The sequence below is a fragment of the Homo sapiens genome, chromosome 12 (genome assembly GCF_000001405.40).
Source record: "Homo sapiens chromosome 12, GRCh38.p14 Primary Assembly".
NCBI lineage: Eukaryota > Metazoa > Chordata > Mammalia > Primates > Hominidae > Homo > Homo sapiens.
In genome coordinates this window covers 43,713,116-43,733,492 of record NC_000012.12, presented here as the reverse complement: position 1 = coordinate 43,733,492, position 20,377 = coordinate 43,713,116, and the positions used below count along the sequence as shown (strand labels likewise).

The 20,377-nt window shown below is 34.9% G+C and overlaps 1 protein-coding gene across 8 annotated transcripts in view; it reads left to right on the top strand.

Moving 5' to 3' along the window:
- PUS7L (pseudouridine synthase 7 like) overlaps window positions 1-14,501 on the top strand; it is a 39,799-nt gene extending 25,298 nt beyond the window's left edge. For all 8 annotated transcript variants that reach the window (NM_001271826.2, XM_011538791.3, XM_006719623.3 and 5 more), the window contains 2 exons: window positions 1,735-1,788; window positions 2,791-14,501. In NM_001271826.2, coding sequence (NP_001258755.1) covers window positions 1,735-1,788; window positions 2,791-3,117 — 381 coding nt within the window. In that variant the 3' untranslated portion in view covers window positions 3,118-14,501. The remainder of the gene's footprint in view (window positions 1-1,734; window positions 1,789-2,790) is intronic.
- Window positions 14,502-20,377: the final 5,876 nt, after the last annotated feature.

Genomic DNA, 20,377 nt, shown 5'->3' with positions numbered 1-20,377 from the left:
AACATTTTCTCCTACATATTTTGCAGAATTTCCTTTTATGAGCAGCAAAAACAATGTTTATATATATTTTAAGATCGATCACTTATTTTATTAGTTAGCACTGAGGAAAGAAAAGGCAGGACTTAGAGGCCCAAAATATAAAATATGAAAAGGAAAAAGAATAAAATTCTTAATAAATGGTATATGGGGCATGTAATATGCATCTACAATTAAAAATTATAGAAAACTAATCTGATTCCTTCTTTTGATAGAGTTACTAGACTAACAGGTGTATCTACATTTTCAAATCACTTGGTAACTTTTCTTTGTGTGTGTGTGTGTGGGCAAGATGGAGAAATGTGAGTTAGACAATTAAAAACTTAGGTGAATTTATAGTTGGGGAGCAGCCATACAAGGAAAGCATGTTTGTTCATGAATTGCTGGATATCAACCTGGAGGGAATTCTTTAAAGACAAAGCATGGTGTTTTATACCTGACCATGTTTATTCGATGTTTTCATAAATTACTTAAATCACAGTATGTAGGTATACTTATGACTCTGTGAAAGAAAAAAGGCTAGAAATGGTGATGCAAGAGAGATCATAATTCCATGTAGTCTGTCTCTTGTATTTTGATCAGATCACATCTGGAGCTTTGTTTCTGTTTCTGAGTGCAGTAACTGAAAGAGGTTAGTTACCAATAAACAAAAAAACAAACCCTAAATTAAAAACAAAAAGGAGCAACATTATTGATAAGACTAGGGAGAGTTGAGGGGAAATCAGGTAGATTTAGAGGGGCTCTAGACACTGTACCGTGTGATGAATGCTTTAGGAATATGAGAATGCGCTGAAGCCTTGTGAAGAGAGAATAGCTGCCTTTCTGTTTGAGCTTTCATGTATAAGAGAAAGCAGAACTGCTTATTCTGTGATATCCTAGAGCCACATTTCATAGAGTTAATCTGTCATGCACCTTTTTTTCCTCTTGTATGTGACACCTGTTACCATTCTATGAAACAAATGCTGAGAAATACCACCTCTTTAAATTTTTTTTTTTTCAATTTTATTTTAAAGACAGAGTCTTGCTCTGTCACCCAGGCTGGAGTGCAGTGGCACCATCATGTTTCACTGCAGTCTTTAGCTCCTGGGATCAAGCGATCCTCTTGCCTGGGTCTCCTATGTAGCTAGCACTACAGGCATGTGCCACCACACCTGGCTAATAAAAAAAAATTTTTTTTTATATAGACAGGATTTCCCTATGTTGTCCATGCTGGTCTCAAACTGCTGGCCTCAAGCGATCCTCCCAAAGCACTGAATTACAGATGTGAGCTACCACATCCAGTCAGAGAAAAATCAGTTCTGTATAGATTATTATATTTTCGGGGGACAGAGATTAGTGGGGGTGGGTAGTGGGTTGATATTATAGAAGCAGATTTTCAATTCAGCCTAATAAAGAAAAACTTTGTGATTTAGAAAAAGATTGCTGGTGATTGAGGTGAAAGTATTGCCTCAGAGTTTTCAGCAGCCCACCTTTCTCCATGTTATCCAAATTCAGTGATTAGTGGTTAAAGCAGGAAGAATCATTCTAATTTTTATGTAGTCTACTCCTCCAGAAACAAATTATGATAAGATCTTGTTTGGGTTTATGTATATTCAGCATAGGAACTGATTTATATATAATAGAGTTAGGGAAAATTGAAAGTGGTGGAAATTTGGAACATTTGGGAATCATTCATATTTTCATGTTTTTTAAAACTAGATTCACCTGGTAACTGAAGAGGAGGGATCAGCTAATATGTATGCAATACATCAGGTAAATTTGCTTAAAAATTACTATCACTTAGATCTAAGTGTAGACATTGTCCCCAAAAAGCAAAATGTTAACTAGTTCCCCTCCTCTTTTTTATTAAACAACTTTTAAATTAAGGTATAATTTATATACAATTAAATTCACTTAGTTTACAATTGTATAGACTTTGATAAACATATTTTTGATAAATGTAGGACTGTGTGGCCACCACAAATATCAATCATAAAGAACAGTTTCCTCCCCTCTCCAAATTTTCCTGCGCCCATTCCCATCCCTCACCCCTGGCAACCCCTGATCGGTTTTCTGTCACTATGGTTTTGCCTTTGAAATAATGTCATATAAATGGAATACTACAGTATATGGCCTTTTGTGTCTGGCATCTTTCACTTAGCATAGTGAATTTCAGATTCATTCATATTGTGTATATTTGAATTTTTTACCTTCTTCCTTTTCTTGACTACCTTTTGGTGCTGTTCAAGAAAACTGTCTAGAAGACACCAGCAAAGGAAGAACAACCCACAAAATGCAGTGTTTACTCACAAGCAGCTAAGAAAATAAACATTGAATGTGTTGCTATGTGTTTGTTTTCTTGTTCTGGAAGAAATAAGAAAATTTAAAATTGTCCACCAAAATACCGGTAATGTGACTGAGCAGTAGAGGTTACTCTTTGTGTTATAGAAAGTACATGCTTTATTTTATACAGATTAAGTCTTTATCAGCTAATTAAGTGTACCTAAACTTCTTAAACAGTGGATTGTTTAATAATATCTGATTTGAGTTGGTTACCTTAGTTATTGTGAGTCCTTGATTTTAGTTAGCTATTTTCTTTGGCAGCATAAAAATATCATAGCATATTATTTAAAGCATGTTTTAGGCTGATTGTGGTGTTTATATTCTGAGACTATTTTTACAAATCCAGGTCGCAGTCATAAAAGTACATTAAAAATATGATCATGTATCTTTTTGAAGGCTATTTTCATATTTTTTCCCTCTTTTCTTTCACAGGTGGTTCTTCCAGTACTTGGATACAATATTCAGTACCCGAAGAACAAAGTAGGGCAGTGGTACCATGACATACTTAGCAGAGATGGACTACAGACATGTAGGTTTAAAGTACCTACTCTGAAACTGAATATACCAGGTTGCTATAGACAGATTTTGAAACATCCCTGTAATCTCTCATACCAACTAATGGAAGATCATGACATTGATGTCAAAACGAAAGGTTCCCACATTGATGAAACAGCTTTGTCTCTTTTGATCTCTTTTGATCTTGATGCTTCATGCTATGCTACCGTTTGTCTGAAGGAAATAATGAAGCATGACGTTTAAAACTGATACCCTTGGTATAACCATATATATGTCACTCTTTGAAGGAAAGGGGGCTAAAATGTCTTAAGCACCTTCCATGTGTTAGGAACTTCATAATTGTTATCTCTTTTAATTTTCACAGCATCCTGAGAAGTTAGGATTTGATACTGTAATTTTATAGAGGATATGTAAGTGTCAGGGTCCAAATTTAAGGTCCATGTGACCCCAAAGCCTGTGTTTTTTTTCTATTATATGTTTCAGTGACCTTTATTCTGTGTCATAAAGTTACAATCTTTTAAAACCATTAGGAATATATATAATACTGCAAGATAACATTTAAGAAAAAAAGTTGTGAATATTCATATCCTCCAGCTCCTTGCTTAGAACACTAGTAAAATTAGGTCGCAGTGAAGCAAATGTTGGAGAGAAAGATAGATGAAGCATTTTGCTAATTATTATTGTCCCCCTTTCCTGTTTTTGAAATTATTGATCAGAACAATATACAAGGGAAATGCCATACCTCTGTTTGTGATAGATACCCCAGAGTAGTTATTACCTCTTTGTGAGATAAGTAATCTTTGATGAAGATTGAAATACAATTTCTCATCCAATTTTTATATCTTGGCATACGCTGACCCTCTTGACCATTTGTAATTTTTTCATATTATCTAAAACAGGTGTTAGAGTCAGACAGATTCATTCTTAGATTCTAGCTCTGACACTTACTAGTGATTTTGAGTATGTTGTTGATTTTTTTGTGTGTGGTTACTGATAGAATCAAGACAATTACAACTTCATAAATGACAAATAATAGGATTATCTCCACATTTTCTGTTGCTGGAGGAACAAAACATTGTGCCCATTTGAAAATTTTAATTTTTGTTGGTTTAACTATCCCACATTATAAATCATCCTTCACCATTTTATATCAGTTAAATATGGGTGTGTTGGGGAGGAATGACTGGCATGTAGACATGTATTGATTTAGGAAGATCTGAGCATTTCTTTCATTGTTGGTAAGATATAATGATGAAATTTAAAAAGCAGTATGGAGCATTATATATCAGTAATGTGATATATATACTTAAGCCAGTTTAACCATTTTGGGAAATGTTAGCATTAGGAAATAAAATCCAAAAGAAGGAAGAGAAGCTATATGCAATGCAAAATTTGCTTATTGCAATATTTTCATATACAGACACTAAAAACAGTTTTCAAAGTCCAGCATTACGTAACTAAAGTAAGTAAAATGATGTGTATCAACTTGATGGTAAAATATGTAGTTATTTAAAAAAGCAATGAACAATTTAGTTTCATGAGAAAATGTTGCCCCCTAAAAGTAGAACACATATGTTACAACTGCAATAATACTCTGAATTCATCTTTCACAAATAAGAGACATGTTAGCATAGTGATTAAAAGCACAGATATTGGAGACAAACTAACCCAGTTTGAACCCTGGCACTGCCACGTATAGCACTGCAGCCTTGGGAAAGTTATTTAAACTCATGGGCTTCAGTTTCAACATCTGTAAAATGGGCATGTTAACATTGCCTACCTCATAGGATTACTGTGAGAATTTTCTAAGTTAATATATGTAAAGCAACTTTAAAAAGTGCCTGGCACTTAGTTATTGTTAAGTAAGTGTCTGCAGATGCAAGTTTGGAAGAGAAAAGCAAATAAATGAAAATCCCTTCCTGTTAAGATGATGGGGTATTTGGATTTTTTTTAATACTAAAAAGTTTTTTTTGTTATATGTTTTGGCAATAAATAATTCTCAATACACAAAATTGGATATTGTAGTACCATTGATTTTCTTTGGATTACTGCCATCATTTTAATGTTATATTGAGAATGAAGTGATCCTCTATTAGGTAGTAAAAAAAATTTAGAAAAAATGTTTTATTTTATATGATAAATCGTATCCTATAAATGTAATCATAAAATGAGTTATATACATTATTAAATCCTAGTTTTTAAAAGTTTTGAATAGCAATCAGAAAATACGAAAGCATGAAAATATATCATTGATTTTACTTTTTTTGCCTGCAGATGGCACTATAATTTTAGACATTTATTGATTTATTTAGTAAATACTTCAGCAGTGTATAAAGGAACACTAAGTTTATTTCATCACCATAAAATGTATTGAGATATCATTCATGTGGAATATTATTTTATATGCCAATAAGATGCCATGTTAAACTTTTTTTGTTTAAGGACTTTTATTATTAATAGTATGCTTTGGACCAACTGATGACTAGTCACTTAGGTTTTTGCAGTTTTGCTGGGGCATTTCAGACCTTCATAAGCATGATCTTTGGATTAGTTTTTTTTTTTTCTTCACCTCATTATTAGGAGTTAATTTATTTTTAAAGTGTCATCTTAAACTGCAAGGATGTCCTTTAAACATCACATGCCAATTAAACATGCCGAAGGAGAAGCTGTGTCATCAAAATGCCCACTTAACCTACCCAAACATCTCAAACCTACCCTTTGCTGACCTTCTATAGCCCCATTTCCAAAGTTTTGCTTTATTTTTATTTTTTCTTCCAACTTTTATTTTAGGTTTAGGGGTACATGTGCAGGTTTGTTACATGGGTAAATTGCATTTTGTGGGAGTTCTGCATACAAATTATTTAATCACCCAGATAATGAGCATAGTACCTGATAGGTTGTTTTTCTATCCTCATCTTTCTCCCACCCTCCACCCTCAAGTAGGCCATGGTGCCTATTGTTCCCTTCTTAGAGTCCAAGTGTACTCAAAGTTCAGCTCCCACTTATGAGTAAGAACATTTGGTATTTGGTTTTCTGTTCCTGCATTAATTTGCTTACAATAATGGCCTCCAGCTACATCCATGTTGCTGGAAAGACATTATTTTGTTCTTTTTTATGACTGTGTAGTATTATCTGGTATACATGTACTACATTTTCTTTATCCAGTCCACTGTAATGGGCATCTAGGTTGGTTCCATGTCTTTGCTATTGTCAATAGTGCTGTAATGAACATAGGCGTGCATGGTCTTTATGGTAGAACAATTTATATTCCTTTGGGTATATAACCAATAATGGGATTGCTGGGTCAAATGGTATGTCTGCTTTAAGTTCTTTGAGAAATCTTCAAACTGCTTTCCACAGAGGCTGAACTAATTTATATTCCCATCAGCAGTGTATAGCATTCCCTTTTCTCTGCAGCCTCCCCAACATCTGTTATTTTTTGACTTTTTAATAACAGCCATTCTGACTGGTGTGAGATGGTATCTCGTTGTGGTTTTGATTTGCATTTCCCTAATGATTAGTGATGTTCAGCATTTTTTCATATGCTTTTGGCCCATGGATGTCTTCTTTTGAGAAGTGTCTGTTCATGTCCTTTCTTCCGTTTTTAATGGGATAATTTTTTGCTTGTTAAGTTCTTCATAGATTCTGGATATCAGACCTTTGTTCATGCATACTTTGAAAATATTCTCTCCCATTCTGTAGATTGTCAGTTTACTCTGTTGATAGTTTCTTTGGCTGTGCAGAAGCTATTTAGTTTAATTAGGTCCCACTTGTCAATTTTTTTTTTTTTTTAGATGGAGTTTCCTTCTGTCACCCAGGCTGGAGTGCAGTGGTGCAATCTCGGCTCACTGCAACCTCCTCCTCCTGGGTTCAAGCCATTCTCCTGCCCCAGCCTCTCAAGTAGCTGGGATTACAAGTGGCCACCACCACACCTGGCTAATTTTTGTATTTTTATTAGAGACGGGGTTTCACCATGTTGGCCAGGCTGGTCTCAAACTCTTGACCTCAAGTGATCTACCCACCTCGGCCTCAGAAAGTGCTAGGATTACAGGCATGAGCCACCATGCCCAGCCTTCACTTGTCAATTATTGGCTTTGTTCCAGTTGCTTTTGGAGTCTGTCATGATATCTTTGTTAGGTCTTTTGTCCAGAATGATATTTCCTAGGTTTTCTTCTAGGGTTTTTATAGTTTTAGGTTTTACATTTACATTGTTAACCCATCTTGAGTTGATTTTTGTATATGGTAAAAAGAAGGGGTCCAGTTTCAATCCTCAGGATGTGGCTAACCAGTTATCCCAGCACCATTTATTAAATAGGGAGTCCTTTCCCTGTTGCTTGTTATTGTTGACTTTAACAAAAATCAAGTAGCTGTAGGTGTGTGGCCTTTATTTCTGGGTTCTCTAACCTGTTCCATTGGTCTATGTGTCTGTTTTTGTACCAGTACCATGCTGTTTTGGTTACTATAGCCTTGTAGTTTAGTTTGATGTCAGGTTGTGTGATGCCTCCCTCATTGCTATATTTGAATTAGTTTTAATTGCCAAGGTTGTTTGACGCTGAGCTAGCAGTAGTGCCTGGGAGTCGGTTAGGTGAAACAAATTGAGGTCTTTTACTAATATTAAAATTAAAACACCTTGATTTTTTTTTTGTGAGCTGTAAAAAACTGAAAGTCATGTAACTTTTGATTTAACTAACATTTTCTGAGTATCTATTATGTCAGTATCTCACACTTTAATCCATATTCCCACCCTGTGTGGAGGTATTATCTTCCCTTATTTGCAGATTGGAAACATACCTGAGTAGTTTACTAACCTAATCAAGGTCAAACAAAATAGCGTGTGGTTGAGCTTGATTATGCTTCTTAAATCAGTACTGTTTTCATCTACCTAACATTTGCCTTCTGAGAACAAGTTTTTGGATATTAACTTCCATTTAGGCCAGGCACGGTGGCTCACGCCTGTAATCCCAACACTTTGGGGAGGCCAAGACGAGTGGATCACGAGGTCAGGAGTTCAAGACCAGCCTGGCCAAGATGCTGAAACCCTGTCTCTACTAAAAATAAAAAAATTAGCTGGGCTACTTGGGAGGCTGAGGCTGGAGAATCGCTTGAACCCGGGAGGTGGAGGTTGCAGTGAGCCGAGATTGCCCAGCCTAGGTGACAGAGCGAGGCTCCACCTCAAAAAAAAAAAAAAACTAAACTAAAAATTAAAATATAACTTCCATTTCTACCAACTTGATATAACTTGCCATTGATTTAATAGGCATATTGGGGCATGTCTTGGGAGAGACAAGATACCTTTTGATTCTGAGACCAAAATATAAAGTAAAGGGGATCCCTTCAGGAAATCCCCAAATCATTTTGGAGTTTTCCCAAAGTATTTTGGGATTTGTATCATAATAATATGTAAAATCATTATAGATCATAGGAGGTGTTTTAGATGGTACCTGGCACAAATATCATTGAAAAAGCATAGTGAGAAACTTGTTCTTTTTCAATATACTTTCAGTCCTCACATCAATCATTCTGTTTAAGGAAGGAGAAAGCTGATTGATACTATTTACATATATCAACATTGGCTGATTTACCTTTTTAGCCAACTATGCAGGCCTCAGGCTCAGAAACATCAGCAGTCAACAATATAATATGTAGCTAGAATGTAATAGGATTGCATTGTTTTATTGAATTTATCTTCCCTTTTATTTATGGTAATCAATTCTGGCTTCCTGTTTATGTGATGGTATTATGTTTCCTTTAAAACTAAATTTAATTTTAAAGAGGTAGAATCAATTTAAAGGTATTAAATAAATAATAGTATAGACATAGCAGTAATTATGATACCAATACATGAAGGATTAGAGTATGGGAAATATACTGGTACAGTTGAGAATCCCTGAAATCAGAGATGGGCTCTACCACTGCTTTAATATGCGACTTTAGTAACCCACTGATTCTGTTGTAGAATTCTTGGACTTGAAGTACTGTTAGTTATCATTTTTCAGTCCAGGATAGTATTGCATCAAACAAAATTATGAAATATATACAAATTTGAGACATTATGAGCAGAGGCATTGATGACCACATGCTATATCTTAAAATTTTACTGATAGTTGATTTTAGCAAGTCTTATGAAACACTAAGAACAATGTCTGGTGCCTAGCAAATTCTCAGTAAATTTCAGCTAGTATTATTACAGTTAGTATTACTTTACTATGCTCCCTGATAAAATTTTTATAATAAAATGGTTAATGACTTTCCATTGAGGTCTGATCTGACTTAGTTTTAGCATAAAGTAATTACAATTCATATTTTTAGAGGTTTTTTTTTTTGTAGTAGTAGAAACAACTATTTCTAAATCTGGGGATTCAGTAGTTCATTCAAATTAGGATCTTTAAGAGCTGTCTAGGTCAATGTTCCTTAACGTTTTCTACCTGGGAGTAATCTTTAAGAGAACAAAAAGAAAATGAAACTCTATATAATTTAATGCAAAGTCTTTTACATTAATGTAAGGGTAGGAAAAGAGGTTGGAGGAAGATATGGGGAGGTAGGAAAATGGGACTTTTTTCCTCCATTTACTTTTGATGTTTGAATTTCAAACATGAGTATATTTGTGTATTATTTTGCGGTTAAAAACACTGAAGATTGCATAAAGATCAAAGAGGGAAATTTAAGGGAATTAATGGGTTATGATTGCATTTGTTCAGAATGGTTTTGGTGGCTCATGACAACATTTTGAGAGAGAGAGATTTTAATGGCACCAATGGCAGCTAGGATAACTAGTTTAAAGTTTAGGGCCTGTGTTAATAGATTTTGCTTTCTAGTTTCAGAAAGATTCTCTTATAGTACTGTTTTAATCTGTTTTTCTAAGCCCTCTGATTTATGTATATTTAATAGGCCACAAAATAATGTCAAATATATGGCATAATAACCAACAAATATTTGAATAAGTGAAAGGTACTCTACAAAATGCTATGGGAAAGACAAAAATAAATAATATCCCTTTCTTTGAGGGATTAACAGTGTTAATATCCCTTGTTTTCATTTGATTTGAAATGCCACTTGCAAGTGGAATATGCAGACTAAATGGTAAAGAGAAAAACAAGCAGCATCTTTTCATTTCACTTACAGCTCACTGTATGACCAATAATATGTTACTTGACCTCTCAGCACTCCATTCTAAATCCTTAAATGATACTTATTTAGCATTTCTAAGCATCTTGAGATCTCCTCTTAAAATATGCTTTGAACTATTCAGTCTAAATGCTGCTTTCTAAAAAGCTACTAGTTTAAAGAATGGGAAATGGTGTTAATGGAGTTAATCTTGTGTAATTTCAGTGTGGGTTGTCAAGAATACCTCTAAGTAAAGAAAATGACTCTAATCTTCTTAAGCAATTCATTTTCTCAGCAACTTTGAGGCAGGAGTTAATTTACTCTGCCTGTGTACATAGGCCATCTCTTACAAAAGAAAAATTTTACTATGGAAAGAAGTCAGAATAGCCATGAAATTATTTAAATTTAGTCTTTAGAACATATTACAAAATATAAGATATATTAAATTGTCTTTTTTGTTAGAAACTCAACTACCAATGTAGAAATAAAACTCCTGTTGCAAGGATGGAGTTTAGCCATGGAGTCAAAACAAGAGCTATTTGGTTATTTTAAAAGAGAAGAGATCAAAGAGCTGGTCACTCCTTAACTAAGGGTGTTTGGGCAGCAGGATAGGGTGAAGAGTGGAGGGGGTTGAACTCAATTCTTTATGCTTTTATACCAAGCCTCCCTTTTCTAATAAGCCTTACTGGCATTTCCTTAGACTAGTTAAGTCAGGATTCTGAGTTTTTCAGTACAATAGGGTTTTAATCTGAGCTGATCATTGTTTCCAATGCCTCCCCTGTGGCAGGGGAACATAAAGGACTAGTGTTCTTTTCTAAAAAGGGAAGATGGATATTTTTTCTATAACCTTTATAATTCCATTATAATAAAATGAATGATAGGTTATAATAAAATGAATTTTTTGCATATGATTTTCAAAAGGAAACTAATTTATTTTTCTATAAAATATCGCAAAGGAATCGAATACATTTTTATTCTATGTAAATAATAATATAATTTTCACATTTAGGAGGCAATAGCAAATCTGGGAAGCAGTTATTCTAAGTTGGAAGAGCATTATCCCAATGCATTGAAAACATTTGATGACTATTTTTTATGTCTTCTTTATTTTGATGATTATAATAATGTTCTAACTGGGTGGCCTTCGTTTTTCACTCTAGTCAGTCCATCTTGTTTACTATGTCAATTGTTCTCCAAAAAGTAGAAATGTCATTGTTTTGGGGCCATAGAACATTTCAGAAGCTTTCCAGTATCTATGCAGTAACAGTCCAAACCCCTCAACATAACACATTTACACCTGCAAGTATGGCCCCAAATCTTCAAGTGGCTTCTGTCACTACTCCATAGTACATACCCTTTGTTACAGCTGTTTCACAAATACAGGTTGAATATCCCTTATCTAAAATGTTTGGGACTAAAAGTTTCAGATTTCAGATATGTTTGGATTTTGGAATATTTGTACATGTATAATGAGATACTCTTAGAGTTGGGACCCAAGTCTAAACAAAATTCATTTATGTTTCATATATACCTTATACACATAACCTGAAGGTAATTTATTTTTCCCTTGGGAACACTGAATAGACTATATGTTGTGCACCTACATTTTGACTGTGACCTATCACATGAAGTCAGGTGTGGAATTTTCCATTTGTGGCATCATGTCAGTACTCAAAAAGTTTTGGATTTTGGATTTTGAATTTTCAGATTAGAGATGCTCAGCCTAATAGCAAATGTTCCCATGTTATACACCTCAACCTCCCATTCCCATTGGCTGGAACATCTCTGCTTATATTAAATGTCTTTTATGTGAAATCTGTGTTCTCATAGCCTTTTGTATAGTTCTCTACCATCTCATGGCTCACATTGTATTGTACTTATTTGATTAAATATCTGGATCATCTACTGTGAATTATTCAAGAGCATTGATCTTTATACCTCTGGCACCTATCAGTGCCTGACATATAACAGGGTTAAAAATGCTGAGTGAATACTGCAAATATACCTTAGCAAATTTATTTGCTGAATACACATCTCAAGAAAGTTCTGAAATAGTTATTTCCCCTCATAGAAAGTTTAGAGTATTAAAATTGGGTATCTTTATAATGCTTTTTCTTTTGTAATACTTTCATCTTTGCCTTTTATTGAAATATTAAATGCATTGTAGAATTTGATTTAAAATTTAGAACAAGCTGTCAGGTATGATAACTAGTCTCATTTAACAAATGAGGATTCCAGGGCTTGAAGAAGTTAAGTAGCTTCCTCTAGATTGTAAAGAGAGTCTAACCTGGCCCTTTTTGGTTTTAAGGGCATGATGATAACCACTTGCTCTACTGATTTCTAATGGAAAGTGCTTCAGTTTTCCACTTTGCCTAGCTAGTGATTATTTAATATCTGCTTATCTCTGAATTTATCTGCATATTTCTAAAACTTTATGACATTAAGGAAAGTTGGGGAAAATTCACTTTAAGTGTTGTAATGACAATAGCTATCAATCATTGAGTACTGTGTACTAAGCATTTTATATTTTATCAACAAGTACTTACATGTGGGATAAGTACTGTTATTATTTTCATTTTATAGATGAGGACACATATAGAATGCAGTTAGGAAACTAGAGAAAGAGAAAACATGGAGAATTATCTGGAACTAATAAGACAGTAAAGTACAGATTTAAGAAGTTCAGTGAATCCCAAGCAGTGTAAATTAAAAAACTACATTGAGATACATCATAGTGAATATGCAAAACATCAATAATAAAAAGAAAAACCTTAAAGGCAGCTTTAACAGTATACTGAATGACCAATATACTCAGCAGCCACAGAACCTCTATTCTTTTAAAGCATCCATGGGACATTTATAGAAATTGACTATGCACTGGACTATAAGCATATGCAATAAAATTTCAAATGACTGAAACCATATGAGTATATTCTTTTGCCACAACACAATTAGGCTAGAAATGAACAACAAAAAGATAACAGGAAAATCTCTATATATCAGAAATTAAGAGATGCACTTATTTATTTTTTGTTTTTTGTGATGGAGTCTCACTCTATCACCCGTGCAGTGGCACGATCTTGGCTCACTGCAACCTCTGCCTCTTGGGTTCAAGTGATTCTCCTGTATCAGCCTCCCAAGGAGCTAGGATTACAGGCGTGTGCCACCATACCCAGCTAATTTTTGTATTTTTATTAGAGATGGGATTTCACCATGTTGGCCATGCTGGTCTCAAACTCCTGACCTCAAATGATCTGCCAGCCTCAGCCTCCCAAAATGCTGGGATTACAGATGAAGAGATACACTTCTAAGTAATCTATATGTCAAGTAAGACAAAATGAAATTAGAAAATATTTTTAAGTCAATGATATTAAACCATACTACACATCAAAACTTGTGGGATGCACTTAAAGCAGCATGTAGAGGGAGATTATATTCATAAATGCTTATGGTAGAAAAGAAGGAAGTCTGTACATTATGTAGCTATGCACCCATCTAAAGAAGTTAGGAAAATGACATCAAGTAGAACATCAAAAGAAAGAAGGAAAGGATAACTTAAAACAGAAATGAATGAAATAAAACCAGAATAGAAGAGACGATCTACAAATCCAAAAGTTGGTTTGTTGAAAATACTAGTAGAGCTGACATACTTGTGGTGAGACTGATGGAAATAATGCAGTTACAACTAACCAATATCATAATTGGAAAGGAAATCACTATAGGTGCTGTAAAAATTAAAAAGATAATAGAATATTATGAACAATTTTCTGCCAATATTATTGAAAGTTTAGATAAAATGGAAAATTCATTTAAAAATATAATTTGACAGTATTATGTTATGTGAATACTATAATGATAATCCTGTAATCATTAAATGAACCAGTAGTTTAAAATTTTTCCATATAGGGAAGGTCAGGGCCAGATGTGTTCAATGGTTGGTTCTACTAGACATTCAAAAAAATAATAATTCAAGTCTACACAAACTTTCCTGAGATTAGAAAAAATAAAGAAGAGTCCCCCCACCTGTTTCTTACTTTATGAGACCACACCTAAAAGATAGAAGACTGCTTTGCAACCAAGAAATCCTTCATGAACACCTCTTTAATCACAAGTCCTCAACTCCAAGGTTAGCTTTATTTCAACTTTTATAATACTTTTCTTACTTTTCTTGATAGCTTTACCACCCATGTATTCATTCCTAAAAAATACACAGTTTTGTCTGATTTTGAATTTTATGTGAATGGAATTGTACATATCTGTGTTTGTGTCTTCCTTGTTTTACTCAATACTGTTTCTGAGATCAATCACATTATTTGTTAATATTTTGTTTAGGATTTTTGCATCTCTATTTCAGTGTGTGTTTGGAATGTAAATTTCCATTCTCAGACTATCTTTTGGCCTGAATTTGGTTACATGAGTATATGTTCTAAAAATATTACTTACACTTTCAATAAATTTTAAGGACTTTTATATTGTTATGTATCAAATTTTTTAGAATGCAAGAATAAATATTATAAAACATCCTTTGGTTTGAGGAAACTACTAAATCTGTTAATAATCCTTTCAGCTCTATTGAAACAGATTCGTTTTTAAAAGCTGCCCTGTTTTTGCTTTGGGGTTTGGGGAACACACACACACGCAGATGCACACAAACGAACACATATATTGAACTTGCATATATATATATATATATATATATATATATATTTTTTTTTTTTTTTTTTTTTTTTTTTTTTTTCTTGAGACAGAGTCTCACTCTGTTGCCAGGCTGGAGTGCAGTGGCACAATCTCGGCTCACTGCAACCTCCGCCTCCCGGGTTCAAGCAATTCTCCTGCCTCAGCCTCCCGAGTAGCTGGGACTACAGGTGTGTGCCACCATGCCCAGCTAATTTTTGTATCTTTAGTAGAGACGAGGTTTTACCATGTTGGCCAGGATGGTCTTGATCTCTTGACTTCTTGATCCGCCCCCCTCAGCCTCCCAAAGTGCTGGGATTGCAGGTGTGAGCTACTGTGCCCAGCTGGTGAACTTGCATTTTAAATGTAATAGGGAAGTAGTCTACCCTCAGCCTCCCAAAGTGCTGGGATTACAGGGGTGAGCTACCGTGCCCGGCTGGTGAACTTGCATTTTAAACGTAATAGCGGAGTAGTCTATGAGAAAACCCATGGTGATTACCATGACAACAAAGGAAACCATCTATAGAATGAAGACACAACCTACGGAATGGGAGAAAACATTTGCAAACCATACATATCATAAGGGGTTAATATCCAAAAGTAATTAATAGCAAGAAAAAAACTTGATTAAAATATGGACAAAGGACCTGAATAGACATTTCTCAAAGAAAGACATATAAATAACCAATAGGTGTATGAAAAAATGCTCAGCATCACTAATCATTAGGGAAATGCAAATCAAAACCACAGTGACTATCACCTCACATCTCTTAGAATGGCTATTATTAAAAAAGATGAAAGAACAAATCTTGCCAAGGATGTGGAGAAAAGGAAATCCTTGTACATTGTTGGTGGGAATGTAAATTAGTACAGACATTATAGAAAATAGTATAGAAACTACTCAAAAAATTAAAAATAGAACTACCATATGATTCAACAATCTTACTACTGGGCATATATTCGAAGGAAATGAAGTAAGTATGTTGAAGAGATCTTTGCACTCCCACGTTTATTGCAGCAGCATTCACAGTAGCCACAATACAAACCAACCATTCAGCAGATGAATAGATACAGAAAATGTGGTGCATATACACAATGGAATACTATTAAGCCTTTAAAAAGAAGGAAATTCGGTCATTTGCTATAACATGGATGAACCTGGAGGACTTTTCAATAGCTGTAAACTTTGGATGACTCTAAAAGAAGACTAAAATTTTCCAAAAAATTTTATATGCAGTTAAACAGCATTTACTATTTGGTAGGCACTGTCACAAACACTTTGCCTGTTATTCTTTTAATCCTAAGTTTAGCCAAGAAGTGTATATACCCATTGCACACACAAAACCCACTATTAAAATATTATGGTCAGAAAAGCAAGCGCGAATGTCTCATTAAAATTGCAAAAATATTTTATGTTGAAATTTTATACAAATTCTATACTTAATATCTTCCCTAGTAGTTGTATTTTGTTTTTCTTATAATTATTTAAAGAAAGGTAATCATTTTTTTCCCCCACTGATACCCCTAATCCTCTCCAGTCTACTTTAGAGAGACACAATTATCATTTTCTTCATGTGAGGGGAAAAAGTTGGGGAGCAATACACTATATGGAGTCAGATAAAATAGAGGAAGAAGCTGAAGGCAAAATTCCTCATTATTCTTAACCATTCTGCATTTTCAAGGTATATTAAAAATAAATAATGTTATAAAATATGATGTCCATATAAAAATGACATTTATTGCCCTGTGTGTTTCTTCTTTGTTTTTCTCTCTCTTTTTGGTCCATGCCCCCATGCTCTCAGTCTTCACTGGACTTGATCAGTTCCACAGCCACAGAAAGCCATAGGTGGTTGGTTGGCTTCATAAGATACTTCTGTGACCTTTGTACTGATGATTACTTAGTGTTCCCAAAAGAAAACTCACTAGGAGCCATCCTTCAACTTCAATGCCTGCTCTAATTTCACAGTGAAATATATCCTTGCACTTATAACCCCCTCATAGCTTATGTAACTCTACTGGGTATACTTGCATGGCTTAGTGCACTAAGAAAAGCTGGGGGCTACTCTACAGTTCACTCTGGCTATTTCTGGAGTTTTAGGATGTTTATTTTTATTATGCAATCAGTTTTTAGATGATGAATTAAAGTATTTTGATAATCAGCTGAATAGCTCTAACAATTGCAGTTGAATAGAATTTCTTTTAGTAGGAGCTACTGGGAAATATTCTGTATATGTTCTTTGATAAGAAAAATTAGCAAACTTAGCATTTTCAATCCTTGACTACTGCATTTACAATTGTATTTCATGTTATCCAAGAGACTAGATAAAACACTGTCTTATGAGACATGAGTTAGAATTTAGATTTCTGCCAAAACACCTTTAGGTGACTTTTGATATGAACATAGCTGTGTAAGTGGGGATTTTTTCCCCCTTCTGGAAGTCATACAAAAGTAATGAGAAAAATGACGTTAAAAAAACCCCTACAAACAATATAATAAGCAAATTTAACGACATCTATGAGCTACCAAGAGCAGATGAGACCTGAAAATTTGCATAATAGAGAATGAAAAAAGTGGCAAGACTGTTCAATAATAGCGGATCTCAAAAGCAGCAAAACTGCTTTTTCTAAAGAAAAAGTTAATTTGCTTATTGTCAAGGGTGTACAAAATTAAGTAAGCAAAACTGGCAGCAGAAACCCTGCTGAACCTGACTTGGGGCTAAACAAAGCATCACAAACAATGGTGTGCTATAGTTGTAGAAGTAGAAGAGGGAATCTTTGAGTTATAAAGCTTGGAAGATTTTCTTGGCCTCTCCCTCCTAATCAAGATCTTCCTGCAAATAGCTGCTCTGGGAAATTTAACTCATTGAATTACTAGTAATAAAAGATACTGGCATGGCCTCAATACATAGATACTGTAAGATAAACATGTGGAAGAGAGCAGCAAAATTTACCAACAGACTACACACAGGTGGCCATAAAGAAGATAAAAAATGTGATAAACATAATTTTTTTGTAAAGTAATAATTTCTATAAAGGATGGCTATAAAAAAGAAATGGATCAAGTATAAAAACACAGGAAAGATATAACAAGACGAAAGGAGGAGGAGGTGAAACCTGAGATAGTGGATCTTAGGAAAGATGCAAAAGACAAAAGCAAAATCATCAGAAAAATGGAAATAAATTGAAAGAAGCACAGGTAACAATAGACAATGAGGAAAACAAATTAAGAGAAAACAAAGACTACCACTAGAACCAAGTTGAGCTCTCCCAAGTATGAAGATTTAAACACACAACAGGTACCCACAAATGCAAGAAAAACAATAAAATGAAATGTTAATGGGTTAGGATATAAAAGACTACAAAAGACCTTTATGTTTGTGTTAACAAGAATCTCTGAGACAAAACAAAAATTATACTTTCCCATGGAATTAACAGAGGGTAATGAATTTAAGGAAAGCTTGATGGACTGACTATAAGGGTGATATAATTTTTTTTTTCTTTTTTAAGCAACATGGTCTTGCTATGTTGTTCAGGCTGGAGTGCACTGCCTATTCACAGGTGTGATTATCATAAGGCACTGCAGCCTCAAACTACTGGGCTCAAGCAATCCCCCTGCCACAGTCTCCAAGTAGCTGGGACTACAGGCACATGGCACTGCCCCAGGCTGACATGAATTCTTTATGGCTAAGCAGAGAGCCATATTAGCTCCCACTCTGAGGGTAGGTAAACTCAACCTAACATAATCTGTGTACCAGCCTAAGCTCAACTCAAACTCTAGAAAGAGTCAGAATAAACAGCCTTTCTTCCAACAGCCAAAAAAGGAAAGAGCTTGTACTGTTTGGGAAATAAATAAAACAAAACACCACTGATATCTTATACTCAATGTTGGGAATTGAATTCTTAAAATAAGGCATTTAATGAAGCAAGAAAATGTGATCCATAATGAAGAAAACACTTAACGTTAAAATATTGAAGAGCTTCTCCTAAAAGATCAGAAAGAAGGCAAAAATGTCTGCTGTCACCACTTCCGTGATAGTAGAGGTCCTAGCCAGGGAGATAAAGTAAGGAAAAGAAATAACATGTAAATACATAAAGTTTGGAAAGGAATAAATTTTTATCTTTGGAAGACAACATGTTGGTGGACATACAAAATGCAAAGGAATCTACAAACAGCCAGAACTAATCGTTGCTTTTAGGAAGTTCACAGACTAAAAGGTCAATGTGCAAAAGTTAACTCTATTTCTATGTAATAGCAACGAATAATTGAACAATGAAAATTTAAAAACAATAATATTTACAATAGCATAAAAGTATAAAACAAATAGGAGTGTATTTAACAAGTGGTTACATGTTCTCTACACTGTTAACAAAACATTTCTGAGAGAAAAATTAAAAAGACCTAAATAAGTGGACAGATGTATGATGTTCATGACAGTAAGACTCAATGTTGTTAAAATGGTTTACCCCAAATTGGTATACAGATTAGATTAAATGCCAACCAAAACACAACCTCTGTTTGACAGCCTGTTGTTTGTGTGAAAATGGTACAAATCAGCCGTCTCCAACCTTTTTGGCACCAGGAACTGGTTTCGTGGATGACAATTTTTCCATGGACGGGGCAGGGGAATGTGGGGAGATGGTTTTGGGATGAAACTGTTCCACCTCAGATCATCAGGCATTAGGAGCCCAAGACCTAGATCCCTCGCATGCACAGTTCACAATAGGATTTGCATCCCTATGAGAATCTAATGCTGCCGCTGATCTGACAGGAGGAAGAGCTCAGGCGGTAATGGTGGCTTGCCTGCCACTCACCTCCGGCTATGTGGCTGGGTTCCTAACAGTCCAGTGCCAGTACCAGTGGGTACCAGTCTGTGGCCCGGGAGCTGGGAACCCCTGGAACAATGATTTGGAAAATTGTTTGTCATTTTCTCATAAATTTCACATACACTTACAATATGATTCAGTAATTCCAAACTAGGTATTTACCAAAGATTAATGAAAATACATGTCTACACAAAAGAAGGATAAAAAATGTTCATGGTAACTGGGCTGTGCCGAGGTGGCTCACACCTGTAATCCCAGCACTTTGGGAGGCCGAGGCGGGCGGATCATGAGGTCAAGAGATTGAGACCATCCTGGCCAACATGGTGAAACCCTGTCTCTACTAAAAATACAAAAAATTAGCTGGGTGTGGTGGCGCGCGCCTGTAGTCCCAGCTACTCAGGAGGCTGAGGCAGGAAAATCGCTTGAACCTGGGAGATGGAGGTTGCAGTGAGCTGAGATCGTGCCACTGCACTCCAGCCTGGTGACAGAGCGAGACTCCATCTCAAAAAATAAATAAATAAATAAATAATAAATAAATAAATGTTCATGGTAACTTTATAATAGTCAACAACTGGAAGCAACCCAAATGTCCACAAAAGGAACATGGATAAACAGGTGATGGTATAGTTACATAATGGAATAAAAAACAATTTTAAGCTACTGATCACGCTGCATGCATGCATATTAAAAACATTATGTTACATAAGAGAAGCCAGAAGCAAAACAGAACATGTACTATGATTCCATTTATATGAAGTTCAAAGCAGGCAAAATAAACTATGGTAATAAAAATCAGATCAATGGTTGCCTCAGTTTGTAGGGGGGAGAAGAAGCCAGTGTGCAGAGGGAAGGAGGTTTGATTTGATCCAAGGGCCACAGGGAATTTTTCGTGTGAAAGAAA